Source organism: Homo sapiens, chromosome 1 (assembly GCF_000001405.40).
Source record: "Homo sapiens chromosome 1, GRCh38.p14 Primary Assembly".
NCBI classification, from domain to species: domain Eukaryota; kingdom Metazoa; phylum Chordata; class Mammalia; order Primates; family Hominidae; genus Homo; species Homo sapiens.
In genome coordinates, this window is record NC_000001.11 from 175469461 (window position 1) to 175495388 (window position 25928).

Consider the following 25928-nt stretch of genomic DNA (forward strand, 5'->3'; position numbering starts at 1 on the left):
AACAAGAGAGTTTTGAACTGGACCCTAAAGAATAAACAGAAATTTATCAAGCAGGGGACTGAGGTTGGCATGTGGGTTAGCACTTCCCAACTGTTGGGAAGAGACACATAAAAATGTGGAGGAGCTATAGGGAGGGTTTTGTGGCCTCTTGTTGGGGCTGCTTGGTAACTAGAGGGACGGGGAGGAGGAGATGAGAGAGTAAAGGGATGAGAGATTGAGAGGGCTTGGAAGGCAGGCTAAGGTGCTCTGACATGATTCTATGGGAAGTGAGATCTCTCTACTGGTCTTAAATATGGGAGACCTGGGTTTTAGACTTGGGTTTTGGGCCAATTTCTTTGACATCAATATGGCTCATAGATTGGAGTGAAGCACTATTGAGGCTGAAAGGACAGAGACGGGCCTGGAGACTACTGCAATGGTCCAAGCAGGAGAGAGTGAGGGCATCAGCTGCTGTGGGGTAAGTGAGCAGCAGGATGGAAAGGGTGAATGCAAAAGACCCTTTAGAGGGAAAACATGTAATGATGATCACTTGATGGGGGCCAGGGAAGAGTCAGGATGACAGGGAGATTTCTAACTGGCATGGTTGGTATAATCCACTGTGAAAAGAAACTGTGAGGAGTAAAGTGTGGAGAGATGGGGGTACACAGAAGGAGTTCAGTATTGGACGGGTTGCATTTGAGGAGTCTACAGAGAACTCGAATAAGCAGCTGATATGTGGATCTGGAGCTCAGAAGAGAGATTCAGACTTACAAGCTGCCAGTGTAAAGGTGACAGTTGGGCCTTGGAATGGATTAGATCATTGAAAGAAAATGTATAAAGTGAAAAGAAAAGAAGGCAGGAAATGACATAGGGGGATCATCAGCATGCAAAGGGCCGCAGGGGAAGACAAAATGCAAAAAGGGCAGAGTGAGGATGATGAGGGAGAGGTCGAAAGAGAATCCACCCAAAGGCATGCCACTAATGTCAGGAGCAGAAGTGTGCCTCCTCCAGACTCCCATGGTATTTCCAGCCCTCCCTTTATGTTATTTTAAATTTTTAATTGTTTAATTTTTAACAATTTTTGTGGGTACATAGTAGGTGTATATATTTATGGGGCACATGAAATATTTTGACACAGGCATGCAATGTGAAATAAGTTAATCATGGAGAATGGGGTATCTATCCCTTCAAACATTCTCTGAGTTGCAAAAAACCCAAGTACATTCTTTAAGTTATTTAAAAATACACAATTAAGTTGTTATTGTCTATAGTCATCCTATTGTGCTATCAAATAGTAGGGCTTATTCATTCCAGCCCTCCCTTGAACAGGATGCATCTCCATGCCTTGTGATTGTTTATTCACTTGTTTCTCTATTAGCTTGTGGACTCCTGACATTCAGTGGCCATGTTCTGCACCACTATTGGCTGAAATTTGGCACAGGGTTGGGCATGAGGTGGGAACTCGATGACCACTGGCCAATGAAGAGGTTAATGCCACCAAATGTAGCAGAGAGTCAGGTAAAATGAAGAGGCAGAGGCAATTGGATGCACTAGAAATTTTAGCTGTTTCTGCAGGGCGGAATGAAGAAGTCAGTTTGTGTTGCTGGGAACAGGAGGCTCACTGCTTTTGTTTGACACATCTGAGTTAGTCAGCGAAGAGAGAAGGGCAATAAATACACCGCAATTAGTAAAACAGAAGAACTGTCTTATGAGTCACAAGACTGAAGTTAACACGCCGGGCTGAGTAATGAACTCATTTATGTCCTTCCCTGCCCATCTCTGTGCTTGTTGCATCACAGCTTGTAAAAATCTTTATTTGGGATCCTTGACAGAGCCAGTGATCACGTCAGTCTGTACTTGTTACAAGATAAGTACAGTCACGCGTTGTTTAACCTGGAGGATTAGTGCTAAGAAATGTGTCGTTAGTCGACTGTGTGAACATCATAGAATGCACTTACACAAACCTAGGTGGTAGAGCCTATTACACACCTAGGTATATGGTGTATGTAGCCTATTGCTCCTACCCTGTAAACCTGCGGAGCATGTTACTGTACTGAGGACTGTAGGCAATTGTAACATGATGGTAAATATTTGTGTCTCTAAACATAGAAGAGGTACACTAAAAATACAGCATAAAGGATTTAAAAAATGGTACATCTATACAGGGCACTTACTATGAATGGAGCCTGCATGAGTGTAAGCTGCTCTGGGTGAGTCACTGTGTGAGTGGTGAGTGAATGTGGAGGCCCAGGACATCACCATACACTGCTGCAGGCTTTATCAACACTGAATACTTAGGCCATACTAATTTTATTAAATTTTTTTTCTTCAATTATAAATTAATCTTAGTTTACTGTAACATTTTTACGTTATACACTTAAATTTTTAAAACGTTTTGACTCTTTTGCAATAACGTAACTTAAAACACAGACACATGATACACCTGTACAAAAATATTTTCTTTTTTAGATCCCCATTTCTTAAGCTTTTTTCTATTTCTAATTTTTTTTTTTACTTTTTGAACTTTTTTTGTTAAAAACCAAAGCACACTAGCTGGGCATGGTGGCACATGCCTGCAGTACTAGCTACTCAGGAGGCTGAGGCAGGAGGATCACTTGAGCACAGGAGTTCCAGGCTGCAGTGAGCTGTGATCCTGCCACTGCAATCCAGCCTGGATGATGGAGCAAGACCCTGTCTCTACAAAACAAGCAAACAAAGGCATGAACACACAGATTAGCCTATGTCTATACAGGGTCAGGATCATCAATATCACTGTCTTCCACCTGGACGTCTTGTCTCGCTGGAAGGTCTTCAGGAGCAATAACATGTGTGGAGTTGTCAACCCCTGTGATAACAATGCCTTCTAGAATCCTCCTGAAGGACCGGCCTGAGGCTGTTCTACATTAACTTTAAAAAAAATAAGCAGAAGGAGTACACTCTAAAATGACTATAAAAAGTGTAGCATAGTAAATATATAAAATAGTAACATAGCTATTTATTTCATTATCAGTTACATATTGTACATAATTGCATGTGTTAGACTTTTTTATGACTTGCAGTGTGGTAGGTTTGTTTACACCAGCATCACTACAAACACGTGAGTAATGCATTGGGCTACAACATCATGACAGCTACTACGTCACTAGAGGATAGGAATTTTTCAGTTCTCTTATAATCGTATGGGACCACTGTCATATATGCAGCCCATTGTTGACCAAATCGTGGTTACACAGCACATGACTAATTTGTGCTGTATGAATATTTACAAAGATTGGAGGAGCTGTTAAGTCAGGAAGGGATGACATCTCGGAGGAAGGAGGGTATGTAGTCATCTGGGTTCCATTTGGGTCCTTGATTCTCTAATCTGTAACATCTACTATCCCTGGCTGGGCTTGTGATGAATCAGGCCTCACACCTGCCCTTCCAGACCAGCAGTGAGCCACTGTCTGTCTCATAGCCCATCTTTGTGCCTGATAAGCAGGGGTATCTAGCTTTGGGAGATGACACTGAGTTAGAAGTTAAGATGGGGTCTAAGAATAGAAGGCTTTGGAGCAGAGGTATTGAATGTAGTAGTGATGAAAGAGGTGGCTGCTTTAAAATAAGAGGTGGTCCAGGAAGAAATGGCTCTGGCAGGATTAGCCCTTAGCATTTAAGCCCCACTTGCTCCTTTTGAATTGTTATATTTCAGCAGACAAAGATCCTAGTGAGGATTGTCTAACTGATGTCTGAAGACAAGCTGAGACTCCATCTTAGGCAGTAGCAAACCCCAGGCACAAGATCTCTTCATACAGCTTCTTTCCCCAGCTGCCAAATGCATTTTCCTCTTGTTTTCATTAAGCTTCTGGTTTCTGTTCCTGTCAATATCATCACATCAAATGCATGCACACACATGCTCATCACCAGCAGCCCCCCAGAGATGCTCTCGGACATCATCTTGAATTTTAAAAACCAGTATTGCCCCCTTGATGAAGAAACACCAGGGGAGAGATGTTGTTTAGGACATGCTTCAGGCTGAATTGTTGTTCCTAAGAAATGGAGCAACTCAGGTCCTCTCTTAGGGAATGGAAGCTCTAGGATGGGAAAAATGACCCAATGCACTGGCAGTGACTTCTCAGCCATGTAGGAAAGCCGGTGAAGTGGGCAGAGAAGATGGCCAAGGCCCAAATGTCTACAGAGCCTTGGACATGGGATTTGGGTGGCTCCTGCCCCTTGTCTGATTCTGCCCGCTAGACCCTACTGGGTAGCCATAGTGATGCTGGAGGGATAAGGCTGAAGCACTTTGTCTTTGATTCTTGCTTCCCTTTTATGTGGGAGCAGCTAACAGAGTGTGAAAGTGCACTCTTTAATGTACAATCTACCCGGAAAGATCAATGGCAGCTTAACATGCATTTCTGTCTAATATTCACTTTGTCAGGTCTTTGTAATAAAAAATGCTGGTTTTAATGAAGTGCATTAAAATGAGGAGATTCATGGCCGCCTGTATGCTTTTATCACCATTGCCTCCCCTTGAGCTGTCAGTGCACAAGCCGTTCTGTGGAAGCAAGGCAGAGGGGTATCATTTTAGGAATCATACACACACACAAATTCTCCATTTTTGCAAAGATCCATGTTACTGGCGGATATATTTCGATTTAATACATGTTATTTCTATAATATGAGATCTTCCCAGAGATGTGTCTTTGGGAGGAAGTTGCATTTAGGAGCCAGGTAAGTGGACACAATGGGGAGAAGACACCAGTTATGGGCTAAATTGTGTCCTACCAAATTCCTAGGTTGAAGTCCTAACTCTCAGAACCTCAGAATTTGACCATATTTACAGATAAGGCCTTTAAAGAGATGACTAAGTTCAAATGAGGCCATTAGGGTGGGCCCTAATCCAATGACTTGTGTTCTTCTAAGAGGAGATCAGGGCATCCAGAGGCACCAGGGGTGCATGTGCACAGTGAGCCAGCCATGTGAAGAGACCACAAACCAAGCAGAGAGGCCTCAGAGAGGGCTAACCCTGCCGGCCCCTGATGTTGGACTTCCAACCTCCAGAACAGGGAGAAAAGACATTTCTGTTGTTTAAGCCACCTAAGCTGTGGCAATTTGTTATGGCAGCCTGAGCAAACTAGCACAAGATCTCAAGCTTGAGATTGGAGCAGTGGGCTCTGAGCTCATTCTTAGGGAGAAGAAAGTGATCCAAGGGCATGAGAGGGCATCCGTAGCCATGTGTGCCCTGGAGTGAGGTCAATGGGGACATCTGGAAACTTCTTGAAAATAGAGTGCTTTTAATGTTGCCGCTGGTAAGAGGGAACATGCTGCATGAGGAGGCTGTGCTTATAACTATGGGTAAAATGTTTGCATAGGTAGGAAGGTGCTCAGTTTGTATTTGTTGAATGTTACCAAATGAATTGAAAGACAGCATAGCCTAGCTGTCAGAAGCACAGACACTGGAACCTATGCTCTAACACATACCAGCTAGGTGACCTCTCTGACTTCATCAACTGTTGTGAAGATTAAATTGGTGAATATTTTTTAGTGCTTAGAATAATGCCAGGCATAGAGAGAATGTTCTCTAAATGTTTGTTAAGGGCAGAAGTGGCTTGGACTCAAGAAGAGGAAGTCTATAGCAACAGCTGCTCATATAATCCCAGAGGCCCCCTGGATGTCCAGTGAGCTCTTTATCACCCAAGTCACCAAGTCCTTCCCACCACCACCATGTCCCCTGACTCCTCCCTTCCCTCTATTTCCTGGCACTGCTTCCCTGTGGGTTCTCATCAACTCATGTAGACTCTTCTCCATATCTTTCATCTGGTCTCCTTGCTCCTAGCGTCATCTCCCCATTCTCTTACACCTTTCTGCCAAAGTAAATTTAGGGATGATGGCACCTTTCTGCTTATGATCTCTATCATCAAAGGGCTTGGGGAGGAAGCATGGCAGTGTTGGTGAGTTGGTTATGCCCTTTCATGAGATGACATGTAAGTGTGGTGGACGTGCTGGCTTTTCAGGGGTGACAGGAATACAATCAAGCCCTTTGGCACAAAAGGGTCCTTAAAAACCTGATCTTTTATATACTCCTCTGGCTTTATTTCCTATTGTTTCCCATTACTGGAAATTTCTGCTACACAAATGCAAAATTCTTACAGTTCTAGGATCATGCAGTTCTGGGATGGTGCCACTGTGCCTTTGCACCTGCTGGACCCTGTATCCTGAAATACTCTTTTCCTTCTTTTATTAAACTGGCAAATGTATGTTCATCTTTCAAAATCCAGATTGCTTCCTTCAAGAAGGCAATTACTCTTCAAGTAGAATTAAGAACCCCATGTGTTCCTTTTCCTACCCTGGATGAGGAAAAAAAAAACTCATTCTTACCCAGCTTACTTATTGTCAATACATAAATATAAGAAGGAGAATCCAAGAAATAATGAGCAATTTGAGCAATCTAAGGACTAAAACTGGCATTTCTTCCAGAGTATCTAACTTCCCCTCTAACCTTCAATCGTCCTATAATGAAATGATATTTTAAGGTATAAGCTATCTCTGCAGGATAAGGGGAACATTAAAGCCAATGATGTGAACAAAAAAGAGAGCTGAACAGGAAGAGCAAACGCAGCCCAAATTGGAGAATCAAGGGAATATGATGTTGTCCAGTGGCCACAAATTTATCAACACACCTATGCCTGGTAACCTGCTATCTTGTTCTTGCTCCACTCCACCCTTGGGCATTGAGAATAAGAGGTGAGAGTCCTCAGTGACCATTTAACTGTCTCCCAGAGCCTAGAAGCAGCCTGGTGCTTGCCATGATCACAGGACAAGGTGATCTCAGGAAAACCACAGGCTCTCTGGGCATTGGTTTACACATCTATAAAATGGGCTTTCTAGAGTCTAATTGACAAGATTTCCTAGAGCATAAGTAGGTGATGTATGGCAAAAGTACTTTCCTAGCTCAGAATGCTGCCCAGACTTCCATTTTGCTTTTGGGAGGAACTTCTCTGTAGGTAGTTTTGATGCTCCCCACTCCACTTTCCCATCTGACATCTCATTGAGGTACTACTTTGAGCACCTGATCCACAGTCTTCAGTGTCCTCTTGCTGCTTAGAAACCTCCAAAGGCTAGCCTGAGATTGATGCTCTTTGGGCTTCTCTTCTTTGCAGCTGTCTGAAATAATTCACATTCCACACTTCCTCCCCATCCTCCCAAAGCTACACCTCACAATAAAAAACCTAACAGTCTCTTCAGGGGTGCTGGAAAGTGGAGTAATTTATCTGCTAACTGATTTTTGCAAAAGCATTATCGGGTAATAACACCATTGTATGCAACCACTGTTCTGTAAAGTAATAGAGACATATTACCTGACATATTACCAGAACCCTAAATGGTGACCCTTCGGGAATTTGAACTCTGGAAGCTCAGAATGTGGGTGAGGGCAGCAAACTCATAACTATTGGTCTTTAGAGACCCGTAACAGCACTAGGGAGCATCTATTATCTAGGCCTATGAATAAATTGTAGGATTCTGTAATAGAATTACAGTTCCTTCCTCTAACTATGTTTTAAGGAGAGTATAATGGAGAGACAGGACTTCATGGGAAAGAAGAACCAAAAGAATGGCTCTTAAATGTTTCTGTATTTTGGTGATACACTAGCAAAATATAAGGGAAAATACCTGCAAGGATAAATGAGATAATAACAACCATGGATCATTTTTAGTTCCTGGGAAGGAAAGCACCATACAGATTTGAGGTATTATTATTATGCATATAATATATATAGACATTGTATAGTTATTCACAGAGAAGCTCACATATGTCATTCCCACTAATAACATTTCTTTTCTAGCTCCCGCGTAAGAGGAGATATGCCATTTTCATATGTTCCACACATACTCAGAGGAACCTGCGTAGAATATTTTTGCTGATGAAATTTTCTGGGTTGTAACATTTATCTTTTTGAAGAGCTTCCTTCCTATAACCCCACGTGGAGAGCTGTGCTTTTACCTCTCACTGTGATGCTATCTACATGTGGATTTTTGTGTCAACTGCTTATCTTAGCCATTAACCAATTTCTTGTCTGTTTGTATTGTTTGTAAAGTGTTGGGCATACATAGTGCTTTGCCAATGCATGGGGACCTGGCTCCCTGCCCTGTGGAGTGCACCATCTAATGAAAATGGACAAGCCCACCACAATAGAAATCATACAAATATGAGACCCAGAAAGATGCTACTGGCTTGGGAATGAGGGCAGGCCAGTCAGGGATTAAGTGGAGGATCTGAAGAAAGAGAGGAAAGCATTTGGGAGAAAATTAGATGAAGGCTGTTCTAACGGAGGCACACATGTACAACATAAACTCAGTCAGTTCTTATACAAACACAGGGCTGGAAGAAAGCGTTACAGGTTCCCTGTCCATTCTATCTCCCTGAGCGGAGTGTTTCACTCCCTTCCGCAGTCCTTCAGCTTCTGACTGATCATCCTCGGGGGTATGGATAGGCCAGCTAGTGTGGATCTTTGCAAAGTAAGTGCTTAATCTCCAGCTGGCTTCTTTTGCCACCCAACATGCTTCTGGGTGGCTCACTGCCTACACTGTCACTTGCTGGGCGCTCAAAGAATGCAAATTCACTTGGGCAAAGCATAATAGAGAAATTAAATATGCTGCAAATAGAGGGGCACACATTTTATTCTCAACTAAAAATAAACCATTTGGGGTTATGTGTAATTGCTCTCTTGGATTTTTCACTCCATTGGCATTTCTCTTTAGAGTGGATAATTAGAAACTCCCAGTTTAATTTCTATACACAGTCCTACACAGTTTTCAAGTGAGAAAACTTGCACCAACTTTCAATATGTGTGCATATATTGTCCACATGGAGCAACATTAGTATGGGAGGAAGAGAAGAAGGAAGAGGAATGGAGCAGGCAGGACTTGGATGAATTTAGAAAGAAAGCAGAGTGCAATCGAGGGCAGAAATGCAGTGCAAGCCAGACACTGATTCATGGTCTGACCTTGGACAAAATTACCCCAGCTCTCTGTGCATCCACTTCTCTGTCTGATTATGTGCTTTGTAAACATTCAATCACCTTTGAGGTGTGGTTCAAGAGATAGGGCAGAGGCTACCCTGGGGATCATTTCTGTGTCTGTGAATGAATTCTATCCAGCCCAGCCTCCTCTGGGGACACCTAGCCTCCCTACATTAAAAAAAAAAAATCCACTAGCTGCACTTTCCTTCAGACAGCCTCCAGGGCGATGCTGTACGAAAGGAGGGACAATCCATGCCTGGCTCAGTTTCCTGCCACTGAGGAAAAGGAGATCAGGGGACCTTGTTTATATAAAAAGATAATGTGGCTGCCTCCCTGTGGTAAGACCTGCTCTTGTTTTTTCCAGAAATTGTGCTTAAGCTGTCAGCATTCTCTTATTAAATTCTACTTATGATCACTGGCAATTAGGCCAGTGGGGCTCATACTATACAAATGCAGACATTAAAAGGAAATAGGACTTTAGACTATGGTTACAGGCTAGTAAATCCTGGGGCATATGGGTTACATTAGTCTGTGTACTCTTACCATTTACCTTTTCAAAGCCCTTTAAATATATTACCTTATTTCATCTTTACAATAGGTGCTTGACACTATTACCTCCATTTGACAGGTAGAAAAAATTAAGGTTTAGAAGAGTTCAAAAAATTCCTCAAGATTACACACAAGGTAGTGCTGGGATTCAAACCATGGGAAATTTGTTCTCAATCTCTGGCAAGATTTCACCCCATGTTGACTCTCTGGCTCCCTAAATGGTTGCCCAATTGCCCCCTCCTTTGAGATGGGAAAGACACTCTCTCCACTGATGGTCTAACTCTGGTTTCCTTGAGCAATTTGGGACAACTATTTTTCTAGCATTGGGTTAGAATACATTCAGAGGGCCCTCCCAGGGGTTCCCTGACAAGTTTCCCCCCACCAACAATGCGGTATTCCCAGGGAGAGCCTGACTTGCTTCAGTCTCTTCCATCTTCAGATGATTAGGCTGCTCATGTGTGGACTCTCCAAGTGGGTGGGGTAGACTTCACCTTGTTCTCCTCCCTAGGGATTTTAATCCTGGTGACCTATCACCTCAAACTCAGCTCCCTAAATTCTCAAGTTTTCCATGAGCCCCATCAGCAATTTTTGTGCCTAGGTCTCCTGGCTGAACGTGGCAGCCAGAGTTCTGAGGTTTATATTCAGATCGGCCCCACGTACTGCCTTGACGTCAAGCTAAAATAACAGCACTGCTTGGCTACTCACTGATTACTCACTCACAGAGGCAACTGAATCCTCAATCTGATATGTGGGCTTCTGAAGATCTTATCATGTCCCTCTGATATGCTTTGTGGCTAGTAGGTTCCTTCGAAAAACCTCCCAGCTGCTGTGGGTAGCCGCATTTTCCAGTTACTTCTGAGCCAAGCTAATGAGGCATGCTAATTTTGGAAAATGCATAACCATCCACTAATCTACCTCAAATCTCCAGGAATAGAATTCTGGAGAGATTCTAGATAAATACTAAGAAGTAGCTCCTGTCTTCATGTTCCTCAGAAGGTGCAAGGTCAGGTGGTGATACCAGCCAAGTAGGAGAAGGAGCAGAGGGAGGAGAGGCAGGAATGACCACAGGGACTTGTCTGCCCATGTACACTAATGAGGCCTTCCTCCCAGACTCAGAACTGACGGTGACCTAAGGACTCCTCCTACATGTCTCTGGACTGATCCTTGGCTCCATTCTCCAGCTGCATAGTCAGGAGCTTGGATGTGCCCTGAATCCTGTGCTCACTGCAGGACAGCTGCATAAAGTTGAGAAGGCAGCACCAACAAGTGGCTCAGGGAATGTGATGAGCAGAGGGAGGGCTGGACATAGTAAAAAAAAAATGAGGAAGAAAGAAAGAGAGAGAGAGAGAAGGAAGGAAGGAAGGAGAGAGAAAGAAAGAGGGAGAGAGAAAAAAGGAAAGAGAAGAAAGAAAGAAAGAAAAAAGAAAGAAAGAAAAAAGAAAGAAAGAAAGAAAGAAAGAGAAAGAAAGAAAGAAAAGAAAAAAAGAAAAGAAAAGAAAAAGAGGTAGAGGTCGAGTTTGCCCTGCTGTTTCCACAGTCTCATTTATAGCCTATTCCTTCTCTCTGGTCATAATGACTTGACTCATGTTTACTGACTGCTAACATTATGCCCAGCGTCGTGCTAAGTATTTTACATGACATTCATGGCTCAGTTCCCACACGCTATGTGAGGATTTTAGAGGAAAGTTTACAGACGTTAAGAGGCTCACCTGAAATCGGATGCTAGTAAATGAGAGAGGCCAGATTTGAATTCAGAACATATCCTCCAAAGCCACTATTCATACTGCCTTTTTTTCTGACCTCCCTCTTTTCTCCAAGTGCCTAATGGCTTAAATTCCCCCCTGCCTTTTTTAGCTCTTTGAGTCTCATTGTACTACCTCATGTTAGAAGCATATCCTAGATCACTTCTTATCCCTTTTATTAATTAAAACTTACATGGTTCTGTATTTATTCACCCAAAGGTTGCCTTTTTCTGACAGAATAAACTAATTCCTACTAAAGTGTTAATGACTACCAAGGAGTAATCTGTAACTTTGAACTGAAAACCTTCTGCGTTGTCACTGTGGATTAGCATGCTTTAAGACCAAGGAGACATAAATTTGTACATTTCAGGCATTGTCTGGACCAGCGAGAGAGAAAATGTGGGGTTAGGGAAAGGTGATTGGGGCATTCATCCTTGCACCCTGTGAATAGCCTTATCTTATAGTAAATGCTCAATAAATGTTTGCTGAAAAATTACTGATTGATGAATGAGTGAACAAATGAATGAATGAATGTGAATTATCTAGACGAGATTTAAGTATGTGGTAATACTATGTCTGGTCGGTAGAGGCCACTGTTAACATTTTCCAACATCTGTACCTGAAAGGAGAGCCTGGGGTATGGGAAATTCTCAGTCATCCTAAAAGTTGATTTTGGGCGTAAGATTCTGAGATGAGTTCCAGTGTGCTCCCTTCCATCAGTAAGACCCTCGTTGGAGGAATTTTCTGGTACAGACAAGGGATTATCCCCTCTGCTGCTTGGAGAGGACAGGACACTTTCCCAGCCCGTGGATGGCCAATGCAGCTGAGGTGTCCACAACACAGTAGAATGAGACACAGCCTCGGCAGAATAATCAGAGCAGAAACCTGATCAGACTACATGCTTGTGGCTGACTTGGAAAAGAAGGTGGTGGGTGGGCCCATGGAGGGATTGACCATTGGCTAAATGTTGGGTTTTGCTTTTTTGTGTGCCTTTCTGATGGTAGCACTACTAGAAGACAGTATTCCAGGTCATCCTCAAGGTCCAGCCTTACTCTGGTATCCTGAATAGGAACTTGGGAATCTAGATTGACGCAGAACTTTTCTCTAAGAACAAGCACACACGTCTGCCCAGAAAGCACTGTCCTGCTGCCTCCTGCTGGAAGTTGGGAACCATATCTGTTCTGGTTGTCATTCCTCTGTACCAGACCCAACTGAATAGTGTCTAAGGGTTGCCTCTTCTGTGAAGCCCACCTGATGCACTCAGCCTCCACAACCACACCCTGCCTCGTGTTGTCACACTACACACCAACCGTGAGGGGTCAGTTAATTGTCATGTTCTGGAAATGTAAGCTGTGAGTTCAAGAGCAGACACAGTTTTCTTTTATCTTTAGGTATTAGCAACTGGCACAAGAACAAGCACAGAGTCCTTGATAAATGTTTGTTGAATGAAAGAACGAGTGAATGAAGTCCACTAGGCTGCACTGTGGTGATCCAAATCAGCTTCCAAGATGACCGCATTAATCAGACCTATTTAACTGTCATATTATTTATGTCACATGGATACAGGAAAGTGAAAAAAATGAAAACAGCTCTTCCCAGACTTTGCCTTTGTGGCCTGGCTAGGAGACCGGAAGGGATAAAACTTTTCTTGCTGAACATAATGAACCAGAGTTAATTTTATCCATGTTAGTTTTGGGCTCTTGCACACACAACAGGAGACCCTTAATGGCCATCCAAGTTGTATCTTATTAAATTTAAAAAGATAAAATGAATCGCAGGAACCATAAGCTCATATGCTACCACAGGCCAAAGAGGAACATGCTGATTAAAGTTTACTCAGCAAAGAACAGTAACATTCTGTATCCCAGGCATATGAAAACAAATGTACACTGAGAAGACGCCCTAAGAAGGTGAACATCCAGCCTGGCACTTCATAATTATCAATTGAGTATATTAATATGAATGAATTAACTGGCTAGAAACAATCCAATAAATTAAGGCATTAAGACCCCTCTACTCCCTTTGTGATTGATTACAGGAGCCAAACTCACTCAAATTTCTCTAAGTTTCTATAAAATGTGAGGCTTGTACTAAGAGAGCAGAAATTCAAGCCTGTCACCCTCCCTGGGCTTTGTCTGTGCACTAGCACAATCAGGAGTGGTACCAAGACCTCACCCAATGGAAACCTCACCTGGTGGGCGCTCCTGGGGAAGTCTGCCATTCCATTTTGCAGATCAAAGTGTGTCTTGTATGAAATGGGAAGAGGGGTTGAGCAATTCCTCCAAACTGAATTAGGGATTGCCTGCAACTCAACTCACTGGGGACTCATTTCAAGTCAGCTCCCTAAACATTTGTAAAACACTTTGTGTAAGCAAGGAGCTGTGCCAGGCGCCAGTGGTAAACAGATGAATGAACAGGCTCCAGTCCATGCCTTCAAAGGCCCTGTAGCCTACCGGGAAAGACAGTCTAGTCAAGAGATGGTTAAGACATCAGGTGTGGTAACTGCTATGAGAGAGGTGCAGTGAGGGCCTAGGGAAAGGGATGCCTGACCTGCCTGGGCTCAGCAAGAGAGGTTAGTGGAGGAAAGGTTTTCAGGAGCAGAAGGAGAGGACATGGAATCTGGAATGAATCTTAGGGTGAGTTCAAAGTGTATATCAAAGGCACTGTAAGAGCAGGTGGGGCAGGGACAGGAAACATGTCCCAGCAAGGGCTCCTTACCTGTAAAAGAATGGAGGCCTCTTCACAGACCTGCAAGCACTTCAGTATGGCTGGAACATGATGGAAAGACAGGAGAGTGAGTAAGAAAATGGGCACTGTGTAAATACAAGCCAGAAGGAAAAGGGCCTGGATGTTAGGAGTTTGCAATTGATCCTGAAGAGGAGAGAGAGACACTGAGCGATTCCATGACAGATGGGAAACGAGGCTGCTATTGGATTTGATCCTTCATATGCAGGTTAGAGATGAGTTATCAGGATGTCGGGCCTTGAAGGGCTCAAAACCAAACCCCAAGGGAGCCAGATGGTGGGGGCTGGGAACTACACGTTTGAGTTGCAGTCCAGGCTCTGTGGCTGAGCATCTCTGAGGCTAGAGGGCTCTTGGAGGCTAGCCTTTTGGTTTGTGTTTCACTCTGCCAGGTGCACTGTCACCTACCCCTCTTGCTGCCCATGCCACACACACACATGACTGTCTTGGGACTCTTCTGCAAGATTTCCATGGTTCCAGCACTACCCTAACCCTCACATCGTGGTGCTGGCCAGTTCACTTGTCCATATGCCCCCGCTGCACTGTGAGCTCCTTGTGGACAAGAACGTTGTTTGCCTTATTCAACACTGTGTCCCTGGTGCCTAGCACTGTGCAGTGCACACAGAAGGTGCACAATAAATAATTGTTCAATTGTATGAATGGAAGTCAGATGGATAAAAGGTCACTTAACCTCTCATGCCTTTATTTACTTACTGGGAAAATGAAAACCATCTCTATGCTAATTTTCAATAATGAAACTCTCCATTCCAACCATCCGCAATTCCTAAATGTGTTACTTTTCCTCTCTCCCACCCCACATATTTTTTTATCCTCTTCCTCCTTTTCTGTCTACACTCCCACTCTTCCTCTTTCCCTTTCTGTGATTCTTGCTGTGTTTCTGCTGGTCATGTATTATGTTCCAGTTCTTCACTTTACCTTGGCTTTCTTATTTACTAAATTTCCTTCCCTTACCTTTCCACTCTTTCCTTTTGCAGTCCACTCTTTCCTTTTGCAGTCCACCCTCCCCTGGCCTGTGTCTTGTTTCCTGCCTCTCCTAGTCTTTCTCTCTCTCTCTCTCTCTGAGTCTTCTCTGTTTCTTTACATTTATTCCTCCTTCCCTTCCTCAATTGTTTTTGTTCTCATGAAATTTCTACTAACCTAATTTCATGTTTGGCTTTTTGCTCCTGGCGTTTGGTTCTAACTGACCTCCAGACTCTTTTCTCTATTTATTCTGAACAGAACAAATTGGTGACGATAATGGTACTGATGCTATTTCAGCAAAGAAAGGAATAAAGATGCAGAGATGTCTTTGAGGGGACTGGCAGGTCAGCTGTGGATGGAAGAAGGAACACCACTTAGTTCATCACTGAGAATAACCTGTCCTTCGATAGAGCTTCAGAGAGTTTGTGAGCATATGATGAGCATCTAGAACTGTTCCTTCCAGAAAATAACGTATCAGAAGGCAGAAAAATAATTATGTTTCCCTCAATGATCCCAGCAAAGAAGTTTGCTCTCCTAAAGGACCTCAAGGCACTCATAAAACTAAGAAAACTGAGTTAAGTGCTTTTTATTAAACCATTAAGAGATTTTATTCAGCTAAGACAAATGTCTTCACTGAAGGATACAGAGTTTGATAGTATAGAAAATACCCAGATGAAAATGTGTCTGAATAAATTAGACTGATGCATTTGGCATTTCAGTCTCCAAGTGTCTGATTCCCTTCAGCCCCAGTCTGCTGGCCAACCAAAAAATCTCTGATGGTGGATTCACTGAGTCCACCATTAGGCATAAGGGAGCAGGCACAAGAGAGCTTGACAGCACTGGAAGTTTCCCCCAAACTGTAAACAGCTTTGAGGACAAAGACGTAAGTAGCAAAGAATGCATTTTCTTTCTTTGATAGCCATTGGCTCCCAGATCTCCCTGACTTTATCCCTTTCAGAGACCAAGCAATAGACCAAGGAGCACACAGGACATTGGCAAGGAGAAAGGGTTTGGGGTGGGGTGGGCACAGTCAGAGATAGGAGAACTTACATCCAATTTCAGGGTCCTCAAATTTCTGGTCTGCCCCTAAATACGTAGAAGGTGTGGACTTAGAGGAGATAAATTTAAAGGCAGATGAATTTAAAGACACTCACTCCCAGCTTTTCCTGCCACACATGCTGGATCCTTTATCATCCTAGAAAAGATTCTTCTGGGGATATCACAGCTCTCCCCCCACTTTTCAAGACAGAAAAGGAACTGGCCATGGGAATCTTGTGTGCCAAGGGATTTAGTATAATGTTTATTTATATAGAATAAAATTGAGCCAGGCACGGCGAGCTTGCAATGGCTCAGACTAAATAATAGTAATAGCTAACATTTATTGGGTATTTACCATGTGTCAGGCACCATGCCAAGCATTTTACATATAATTTTTTATTTTGTTCTCACAACAGTTCATGAGGAACGTATTGTCATCACCATCCTTCTGATGAAGAATCCAGGTTTAGCAAAGTGATTTAACCTACCCAAAGTCACTCTAAGGCAGTTATTCCCAATCATTTTGGCACCAGGGACTGGTTTCACCAGAGAAGACAATTTTTCCATTAACTAGGAGGTACAGGATGGTTTTGGGATGAAACTGTTCCACCTCAGAACATCAAGCATTAGGTTCTTTTTTTTTTTTTTAGATTATACTTTAAGTTCTGGGATACATGTGCAGAATGTGCAGGTTTGTTGCATCGGTATACACGTGGCATGGTGGTTTGCTGCACCCATCAACCCATCATCTAAATTAGATATTTCTCCTAGTGCTATCCCTTCCCTATCCCCCCACCCCTCGACAGGCCCTGTTTGTGTGATGTTTCCCTCCCTGTGTCCGTGTGTTCTCATTGTTCAACTCCCACTTGTGAGTGAGAACATGCGGTGTTTGGTTTTCTGTTCTTGTGTTAGTTTGCTGAGAATGATGGTTTCCAGCTTCATCCATGTCCCTGTAAAGGACATGAACTCATCCTTTTTTATGGCTGCATAGTATTCCATGGTGTATATGTGCCACATTTTCTTTATCCAGTCTATCATTGATGGGCATTTGGGTTGGTTCCAAGTCTGCTATTGTGAACAGTGCTGCAATAAACATACACATGTATGTGTCTTTATAGTAGAATGATTTATAATCCTTTGGGTATATACCCAGTAATGGGATTGCTGGGTCAAATAGTGTTTCTTGTTTTAGATCCTTGAGGAATTGCCACACTGTCTTCCACAATGGTTGAACTAATTTACACTCCCACCAACAGTGTAAAAGCTTTCCTATTTCTCCACATCATCTCCAGCATCTGTTGTTTCCTGACTTTTTAGTGATCACCATTCTAACTGGTGTGAGATGGTATCTCATTGTGGTTTTGATTTGCATTTCTCTAATGACCAGTGATGATGAACTTTTTTCATATGTTTGTTGCATGCATAAATGTCTTCTTTTGAGAAGTGTCTGTTCATATCCTTTGCCCACTTCTTGATGGGGTTGTTTGTTTTTTTCTTGTAAACTTGTTTAAGTTCTTTGTAGATTCTGGATATTAGCCCTTTGTCAGATGGGTAGATTGCGAAATTTTTCTCCCATTCTGTAGGTTGCCTGTTTACTCTGATGATAGTTTCTTTTGCTGTGCAGAAGCTCTTTAGTTTAATTAGATCCCATTTGTTAATTTTGGCTTTTGTTGCCATTGCTTTTGGTGTTTTAGTCAGGTACTAGGTTCTTATAAGGAGCATGCAACCTACAGCCCTCGAATGTGCAGTTCACAATAGGGTGCAAGCTTCTGTGAGAATCTAATGCTGCCACTGATCCGACAGGAGGTGGAGCTCAGGTGGTAATGCTTACTGGCCCACCACTCACCTCCTGCTGTGCAGCCCGGTTTCTAAAAGGCCATGAACTGGTACCCAACCATGGCTCAGGGGTTGGGGACCCCGGCTCTAAGGCATACTCATTTGATGATCTTCCCGACATCCTTTGATTTTGGACACTGCTTGCCTTCTTCCTTCTGGAAACTGCTTTCTCCCTTTTCTTCCGCCCTACCCATGTGGCTACCATGGTTTTCTGTAGCTCTTCCCCTGGCCAATCATCCTCCCCTCAAAGCTAAGCCCATGCTTTGGAGTCAGACAGTCTAAGATTAACCAAAACTCCATTAATCCCTGCTTCTGTGATCTTGAGCAAGGCGCCTCCTTCCTCATGGCTCAACCTCATCTGAAAATGGGGATAATCACAGTACCCACCACCAAAGACTTCGTAGGAATCATTGTTCAGGTAAAGCATTTTGCTCTGTGCCTGGTACGTGGTAAGTTTCCAAAAAAAGGTAGTGCCTCTTGTTTTTAATACCAAATGGAATTGTTATTTTAGTTATTATTCTTAATCTTATTTCTCCTGATCACTTATCAGGAATTTAATTATGTCTCTATGATGGTACTTTGGATTTTGAACTTGCCACTCAAGGACACAGGGTGTGTGCAGGAGAGTGTGTGGATGGCTGTGAGTGTGCTCAGGTGGGCCTTGGGTGAGAGCATTGAGCTGTTTTCTGGCATGCATAAGGGTGGTTCCAAAAGTAAGAGCTAGTAATATCTTCAGGAGACTTCAGTGCACAGACTGCCACTCTGTGCAAACTGTGAGGTAGGGTGCAAGAAAGCAGAGAGGCAGATTGATTTTTAAAAGGCTGAACTTCCAAGCTGTTGTAAGAAGCAGCCAGCAAATGAGAGATCCATAAACCCCGGAAACATGCACTGCATCACTGGGAATGGTGCTGGGAGATGGATTAGGCATTGAAAATGAGTACTTTGCAGAACAAAGAAGTTTTTATATGATGTCAGAATTTAGAAATTCCCAAGATTGTTTTTTATGGGCAAAGTTAGGTGGGAAGGGAAGAATGGAGGATGAAAATAAATTTCTTAAAAGGATCACCACTGAGGATTAAATACTGGTTGGAAGAGAGGCTGGGAGCCAGATATGATTTGGGAATGCAGTGAGGGGCAATGGAGGGGAATAGATTCAATACAACCCTGCCCAGTTTCTCTGCTGGGCTGGGAAATTGATTTAGGGGGAGCTAAGCAGGAGATCCTCAAAGGCCCTGCACAGTCTTTGGTGGTAAGTTGGGCAGATTTGCTATGGGTCCAGCTTTAAATGCTTCCAGGCACTGCTCTCCAGGAAAGTCACTTGGGTGAAGACACTGAATATTGATCCCCAGCTGCCACCGAAGTTCTACTATGGGCTAGTGCACATGTCACTTAAGGAAAAGCAAGAAGATGAAACTCCCAGAATCCCCCTGCCACTGTGAAAAGCTCATATATCAAGTGAAAAACAGGGAATAAGAAGGGAGTATTTTTGCCAGGTCCCCGAAGGGTGGATGGGGCAAGGGTTGTGGAATAGGTGAGGGAGGAAGGGTGCCTGCACTTTGAGAAAAGGTCAGAAAGGATAGAAAGCTTGGAGTAAAGGAACAGTAATCCTGAGGACAAAGGCATGTTCAGAATTTATGGGTTTTGAATCTGCAAGTGAATTTAAAGTCTACCGCGGGTGGGTTGTGGTGAATGTGCCACAGCCCCAGAATTTCAGGTCATTCCTTTTAATTTACTTGTTTGCAGCTACACAATAGTTTAGATGCCCTTTCAATGCTGTAAGGATGGAAAAAGGTGATATGATTATCCCCGCTGAATATGTGGGCAAACGAAGCCTCCCTCCAAAAACTTAACAGTCCAAGATCACCCGGGGCCCAGCCAGGAATGGAACCTAGAACCTCTTGAATTCTAGCTCCTTCCCTTCCACTTTGCTCACAAAGGGCACATCCACTTCTGAGTGCATAACTCATGTGGTCCCCAGGTACTCTGCCATCTCATGCAAGAAAGACTGTTCCACTCCACAGATGGAGGTTAGATACGGTCATAGCTGCCATCCTCGATGGGGAAAAGTTAGGGGCTGTTACAGTCACCTTTAGGGTCTGTACAAAGAATTTGATCATCCCAAACACCCTGTGAATCATGGTTGCTGAGCCAAGCTGGACAGCGTGTGATTTCCTTCAGAAGGGCTAAGACTAGAGTGAAGAAGGCACCTTCCTGGGGAGACCATGTAACCTTATTCTCTGCCCTGTGGTCTCTTTGCCCTGGGAGACCTGAAACACTAGGGCTCATGGGAGGAAATTGTTAGCTATTTGATGTTGTGAACATCAACAAGAGAATGGTGATAGCAAGCTGAATGCCCTTGTGTTTGACAGGCTTGGTGTTTAATAACATTTGCCATTCAGAGTCTGATATTTTTCTGAGTTTTACATCTGTTTTTTACATCACTTTTTAGAAAGTTGAAATCCTATATACATACATATACATATATGTACACACATACTTTTTTCCAACTTCAACCGAAAGAACTATACATTTTCAATCCATGTTATATAGGTTTTTTATGAACATAATAAATTCAAATACCTGAATAGCCAAGACAATCCTAAGCAAAAATAACAAAGCTGGAGGCATCATGTTACCCAACTTCAAAATATACTACTAGGCTACAGTAACCAAAACAGCATGCTATTGGTACAAAAACAGACACGCAGACCAATGGAACAAAATAGAGATCTCAGAAATAAGATTGCATATCTACAACCATCTGATCTTTGACAAGCCTGACAAAAACAAGCAATGGGGAAAAGATTCCCTATTTAATAAATGGTTCTGGGAGAACTGGCTAGCCTTATGCAGAAAATTGTAACTGGATCCCTTCCTTCCACCATATAAAAAATTAACTCAAGGTGAATTAAAGACTTAAATGTAAAACCCAAAACTATAAAAACCTTAGATGAAAATCTAGGCAATACCATTCAGGACACAGGCACAGGCAAAGATTCCATGATGAAAATGCGAAAAGCAATTGCAACAGAAGCAAAAATTGACAAATGGGATCTAAGTAAACTAAAGAGCTTCTGCACAACAAAAGAAACTATCAACGGAGTGAACAGACAACCTACTGAATGGGAGAAAATTTTTGCAATCTATCCATCTGACGAAGGTCTAATATCCAGAGTCTATAAGGAACTTACACAAATTTACAAGAAAAAACCAATCCCATTAAAAAGTGGGCAAAAGACATGAACAGACACTTCTCAAATGAAGACATTCATGTGGCCAAAAAACATATGAAGAAAACCTCAACATCACTGATCATTAGAGAAATGTAAATCAAAATCACAATGAGTTACCATCTCACACAAGTCAGATAGCTATTATTAAAAACTAAAAAAAAATCAGATGCTAGCAAGATTGTGAAGAAAAAGGAACAATTTTACACTGTTGGTGGGAGTGACAATCAGTTCAACCATTGTGGAAGACAGTGTGGCAATTTCTCAAAGACCTAGAGGCAGAAATACCATTTGACCCAATAATCTCATTACTGGGTATATACCCAAAAAGATATAAATCATTCTATTACAAAGATACATGTATGTGTATGTTTATTGCAGCACTATTCACAATAGCAAAGACATATAATTAACCTAAATGCCCATCAATGATAGACTGGATAAAGAAAATGTAGTAGGTATATACCGTGGAATAATATGTAGCCATAAAAAGGAATGAAATTATGTTCTTTGCAGGGACATAGATGGAATTGGAAGCCATTGTCCTCTGCAAACTAATGCAAGAACAGAGAATCAATCACTGTATGTTCTCACTTATAAGTGGGAGCTGAATGATGAGAACACATGGGCACATGTGGGGGAACACACACACTGGGGCCTGTCAGAGGGGAGCTTGGGGGAGGGAGATCATCAGGAAGAATAGCTAATGGATGCTGGGTTTAATACCTAGGTGATGGGATGATCTGTGTAGCTAACCACCATGGCACCTATTTACCTATGAAACAAACTTGTGCACCTAACACATGTACCCCTGAACTTAAAATAAATGTTAAAGAAAAAAATAAATTCAAATGTTAAATTTTCTTCTTCTCTTCACAGAATCCTTTTAGCACATGACCTCCTGACTTCTTTACCTGCTTACAGGGAGAAAGGCTGAACTATGATGATTTAGTCATTTTTACAAATGAGCAGTAAAGGGTCAGAATTACACAAGTTAGTGGAAGCATCTAGACTTTCTGAGTTAGATAATGCACTTTCTACCATAGCACAAGCATCTGTGTAATTATGTCTAAATTTCCAGGCCCAGACTTTTTTTTTTTTTTTTTTTTTTTTTGAGATGGAGTCTCGCTCTGTTGCCCAGGCTGGAGTGCAGTGGCGTGATCTCCGCTCACTGCAAGCTCTGCCTCCAGGGTTCACGCCGTTCTCCTGCCTCAGCCTCCTGAGTCGCTGGGACTATAGGCACCCACCACCACACCCGGCTAATTTTTTGTATTTTTAGTAGAGACGGGGTTTCACTGTGTTAGCCAGGATGGTCTCGATCTCCTGACCTCGTGATCCGCCCGCCTTGGCCTCCCAAAGTGCTGGGATTACAGCGTGAGCCACCACGCCCAGCCAGGCCCAGACTTTTAAACGATAAACTTTTTCATAGTTGGTTCCATGAATTATTTAAAAGTTTCATGAAGGAAGACCACTCATTGTGGCCAAAGGCCATTGATGGCAATCAGACAAGGGATCCAAATTCAGGCCTCCTAGTAACTATTTCCATAAACAACTTTGCTTTCCTGCTCAATGAACAAACAGATTTCATCAAAATTTTGGAGGAAAAAAAAGGAGCATTTATTCTTCAGTCTTTCCCCCCTCTGGAGAAAGCCCAAGTTTGTTTTGTCTATTGGTTTTGAATATTGCATGTGCTACTATCATTTATGAGAGCCATTTAGTGATCAGATTGCATGTCTCCCTTGTTTAGGTAGTTCTGCAGATGGACTGGCATTTGCTTGCATACAGCTGTGCACATCTGGCATGCAGGTGGGTTTTCTGATAGGCTAGCTTGCTTACAAAATGATTTCTTCTGGGAATGAAGAGGAGAGATTGCCCAAGGCCTGAGATGAAGCCGTCCACAAGCTTGGACACTGATTTGTTTCTAACAAAGGTTTTCTGAGCAGGGTAGTTTGGGAAAGATGATGAGAAGCATACACCTAGAAAACGAGCGGTCACAGAGTTCCCATCCCCAAAGGCAGGTGTGTGTCAAGGCCTAAGTTGATTTTTGGGGGGCCTGAGAGAGTTTGGAGGGTTAATGCTCTAGTCAAAACTATATCTATGGATATTTATGGATGAAATGACATGATAAGTTAGAATTGCTTCAAAAAAATCCTACGTGGGTGTGTGTGGGAGTGTGGGGAATGGGGTTTAGGGATGCAACAAGAGAGATGTTGGGTTGATGATTTTTATAGAGGAGTGATTAGTACATGGGGTTCATTGACAATTCACTCTATTTTTATGTATTTTTGAAATTTTCTAGAATCAAAAGTTAAAAACAAAATCTGTTCCCACATATGGGCCTCCAGAGGCACATTTAATCCTGATAGACTTCTTGTTAATTCTAGGTAGTGGATGGCTGGTGGGGTGCAGGCATGAACACAGGCAATACGAGGAGCAGGAGGTGGGTGGGTAGTCCCTCACACAGCCAAAGGAGGGAGAGTGGACTTGGCGCATTTCTCCTGTGACACATTATTCTCTGCTGTACCCGTCAGAAGGCAGGTGTCATTTCCTCATGCACCATAGCTGTCCCCTCTCCTCTCCTCTTCTCCTTGGCAATCTCTCCAAGATGCTCAGGGTTGCACGGAGCCCAGAAATGACCAGAAAAAGGGCTGGTAGAAACAAAATGGGTATTAATGCCACATTCTGTCAGAATTCCAAACCTAATCTAAGCTATAGCCCCAGAAAAGGAGAAAGGTGAAAGGGAACAGAAAGGTGAAAAAGTAAACCAAGAAACTGAGGAAGTTTTAGAAGAAATGCTCATCTTTTGGGAGAGAGACTTTCCCGGGCCATCTCCTTGCTAATAGAACATGCAGATGCCCAGCAGAAGTGAGAGGTGAGTGCCTCAGGCCACTAGAAGAGACCAGGGCGGCCTCTCTGGCCCTTGATGTGCTAGGAGGAGCTGGCTCCGCCCCACGCTCACCAGGAGAAGGTCATCCCCCGGATTTCTAACAGCTTTCATGGAGGAAGCAGCGGCTAGCTTTCCACAGGACAGCCTCTGCCAGGCCCCCTTCCGGACCCTTCCAAAACCAAAGGTGCTCCGCACTAAGCTTGTAAATGACCTTTCCATTCCCGACTCCGGTTGGTGTCTATGTTTAGCTTCCCTCCTTTCCTCCTGGGGACACTAAGGTGGGGGGTAGTGGTCCTGGCCCCAAGCCATGGGAGCCGGTGCCTGGGCAGCAAGGTGAGAGCACCAGCGGCTTCCAGAGAGTCCATATGGCTGCGTGGCCACAAATAGCTGCACCGACTTGAAAAAAACGCCCACTCCTCTGAAACACACTCTGTGTACTTGAGTCAGACACATTCTGTTCTCTCCCTTCATCCTGACAGGAGCCTCCGTGAGATCCACTCTCAGCTGAGGGGTCCCTACAACCTCTCTTCTTGAACGCCCACTCTCCCAACCTGTTTTTCTTTGTATCTGCTGCTCTCCCTGTGTCTTCCTCCCGCCTCTGACTCTATCCTGCATCCCGTTCCCATCTCTCTGGTCTGTGCCTCCTTTCCCGGATTCCTCCCACCAGCCTGTCACTGTGCCGCCCTTCTCTCCCTTCCCCACCCCGCCCCCTCCCGCCGGCCTCTCTCTGCTCCACACAGCTGGGCTCTCTGGGGATGTGGCTGTTTGGGCTGCAGTTCTATGGGCACAGGTGGCACTGGCAGATGCAAGTCCTTTCCATTCATGTGGGTAAACAGTAAACATTATATTAAAATATTCATCACCAGGCCCTCTGTCTGAATGTTAATCTGGGGCGGGAGCTGATTCATAGTCCCCGGCACCAGCTCCTGGGCAAAGCCCGACAGTGACGATGCAACTCTGCAGCAGTAGAGTGGTCAGGAGAGGTTGGCATGGGAGCAAAAGCATTGATTTTGCATTTGGTTCAAGAGTGATACACGGTGGAGCTTTCTGGCCAGAGAAACTGCCTGTCTACCTGGGGAGGACATGCTTTTGTAGGGCAGTCACTGACAGCTGAGCGCAGGTGGGCCTGAGCAGACCTGTAGAACAAGCAGGTATCTGACACTGGGCTCCTGGTTGCCTGTTTATCACTTTTGTATTTATATGTCTGGCTATGTGCAGAGCGCTAACAAGCCCGGTGGCTCCTTAAAAACCCACTGGTGATCTATTTGCTCTCTGTTGTTAACAGTGGCACACCATGTATCTGTTCCATTTCACAGTCAAAGCCTAGGAATCCTGCTGGATTCTGGACAATGCCTCAATGATATCGAAGAAAAATCTAGACTCTTTCTAAGGGATAGATTTTTGGAGGAAGGATGGCACACGGTTCTTAGTGTCTAAAACAATTCTTCATCAGGAACTTCTTTCCTATAATGAATCTAGATCCCTCATACTCCAGAGGAGTCGAAAACGGGTCGGTCATGGTCCTCTAGGTGAGACCCTTCATGTACAGGAGACCTCTATTAGCTCACACACTGTCTTCAGCGTTCACTTCTGCAGGCACGGCTGCATTCATTCATTCATTCATTCATTGCTCACCCACTCATTTATTTAATGACAATTATGGATTGCCTGCCCAGTGACTCATACTGGGCCAGGCAAGTGTGAAGAGACGAGTTGTCCTCCCAGGCTGCCCTTGAGAATTCACAGTCCAGTGCAGAAGATAGACAGATACATCATGCACAGGGCTAATTACTCAGTGCAAAGAGCTACGGGAACCCAGATGAGGGAGTGACAACACCTCACAGATGTTGTTTCAAGAGATTTTTGAGCTCCTCAAGGGCAAAGATCCTACTGTAGTCATATTTTTAATTTTAGTGGCTACACAGTGCCTGCTTCATAGTGAGTGCTC

At 43.5% G+C, this 25928-nt stretch overlaps 1 protein-coding gene across 2 annotated transcripts in view; it reads right to left on the reverse strand.

The window, feature by feature from the left end:
* The window catches only part of TNR (tenascin R), a 428402-nt gene that overhangs the window by 154267 nt on the left and 248207 nt on the right, over positions 1–25928 (reverse strand). The window lies entirely within an intron of this gene.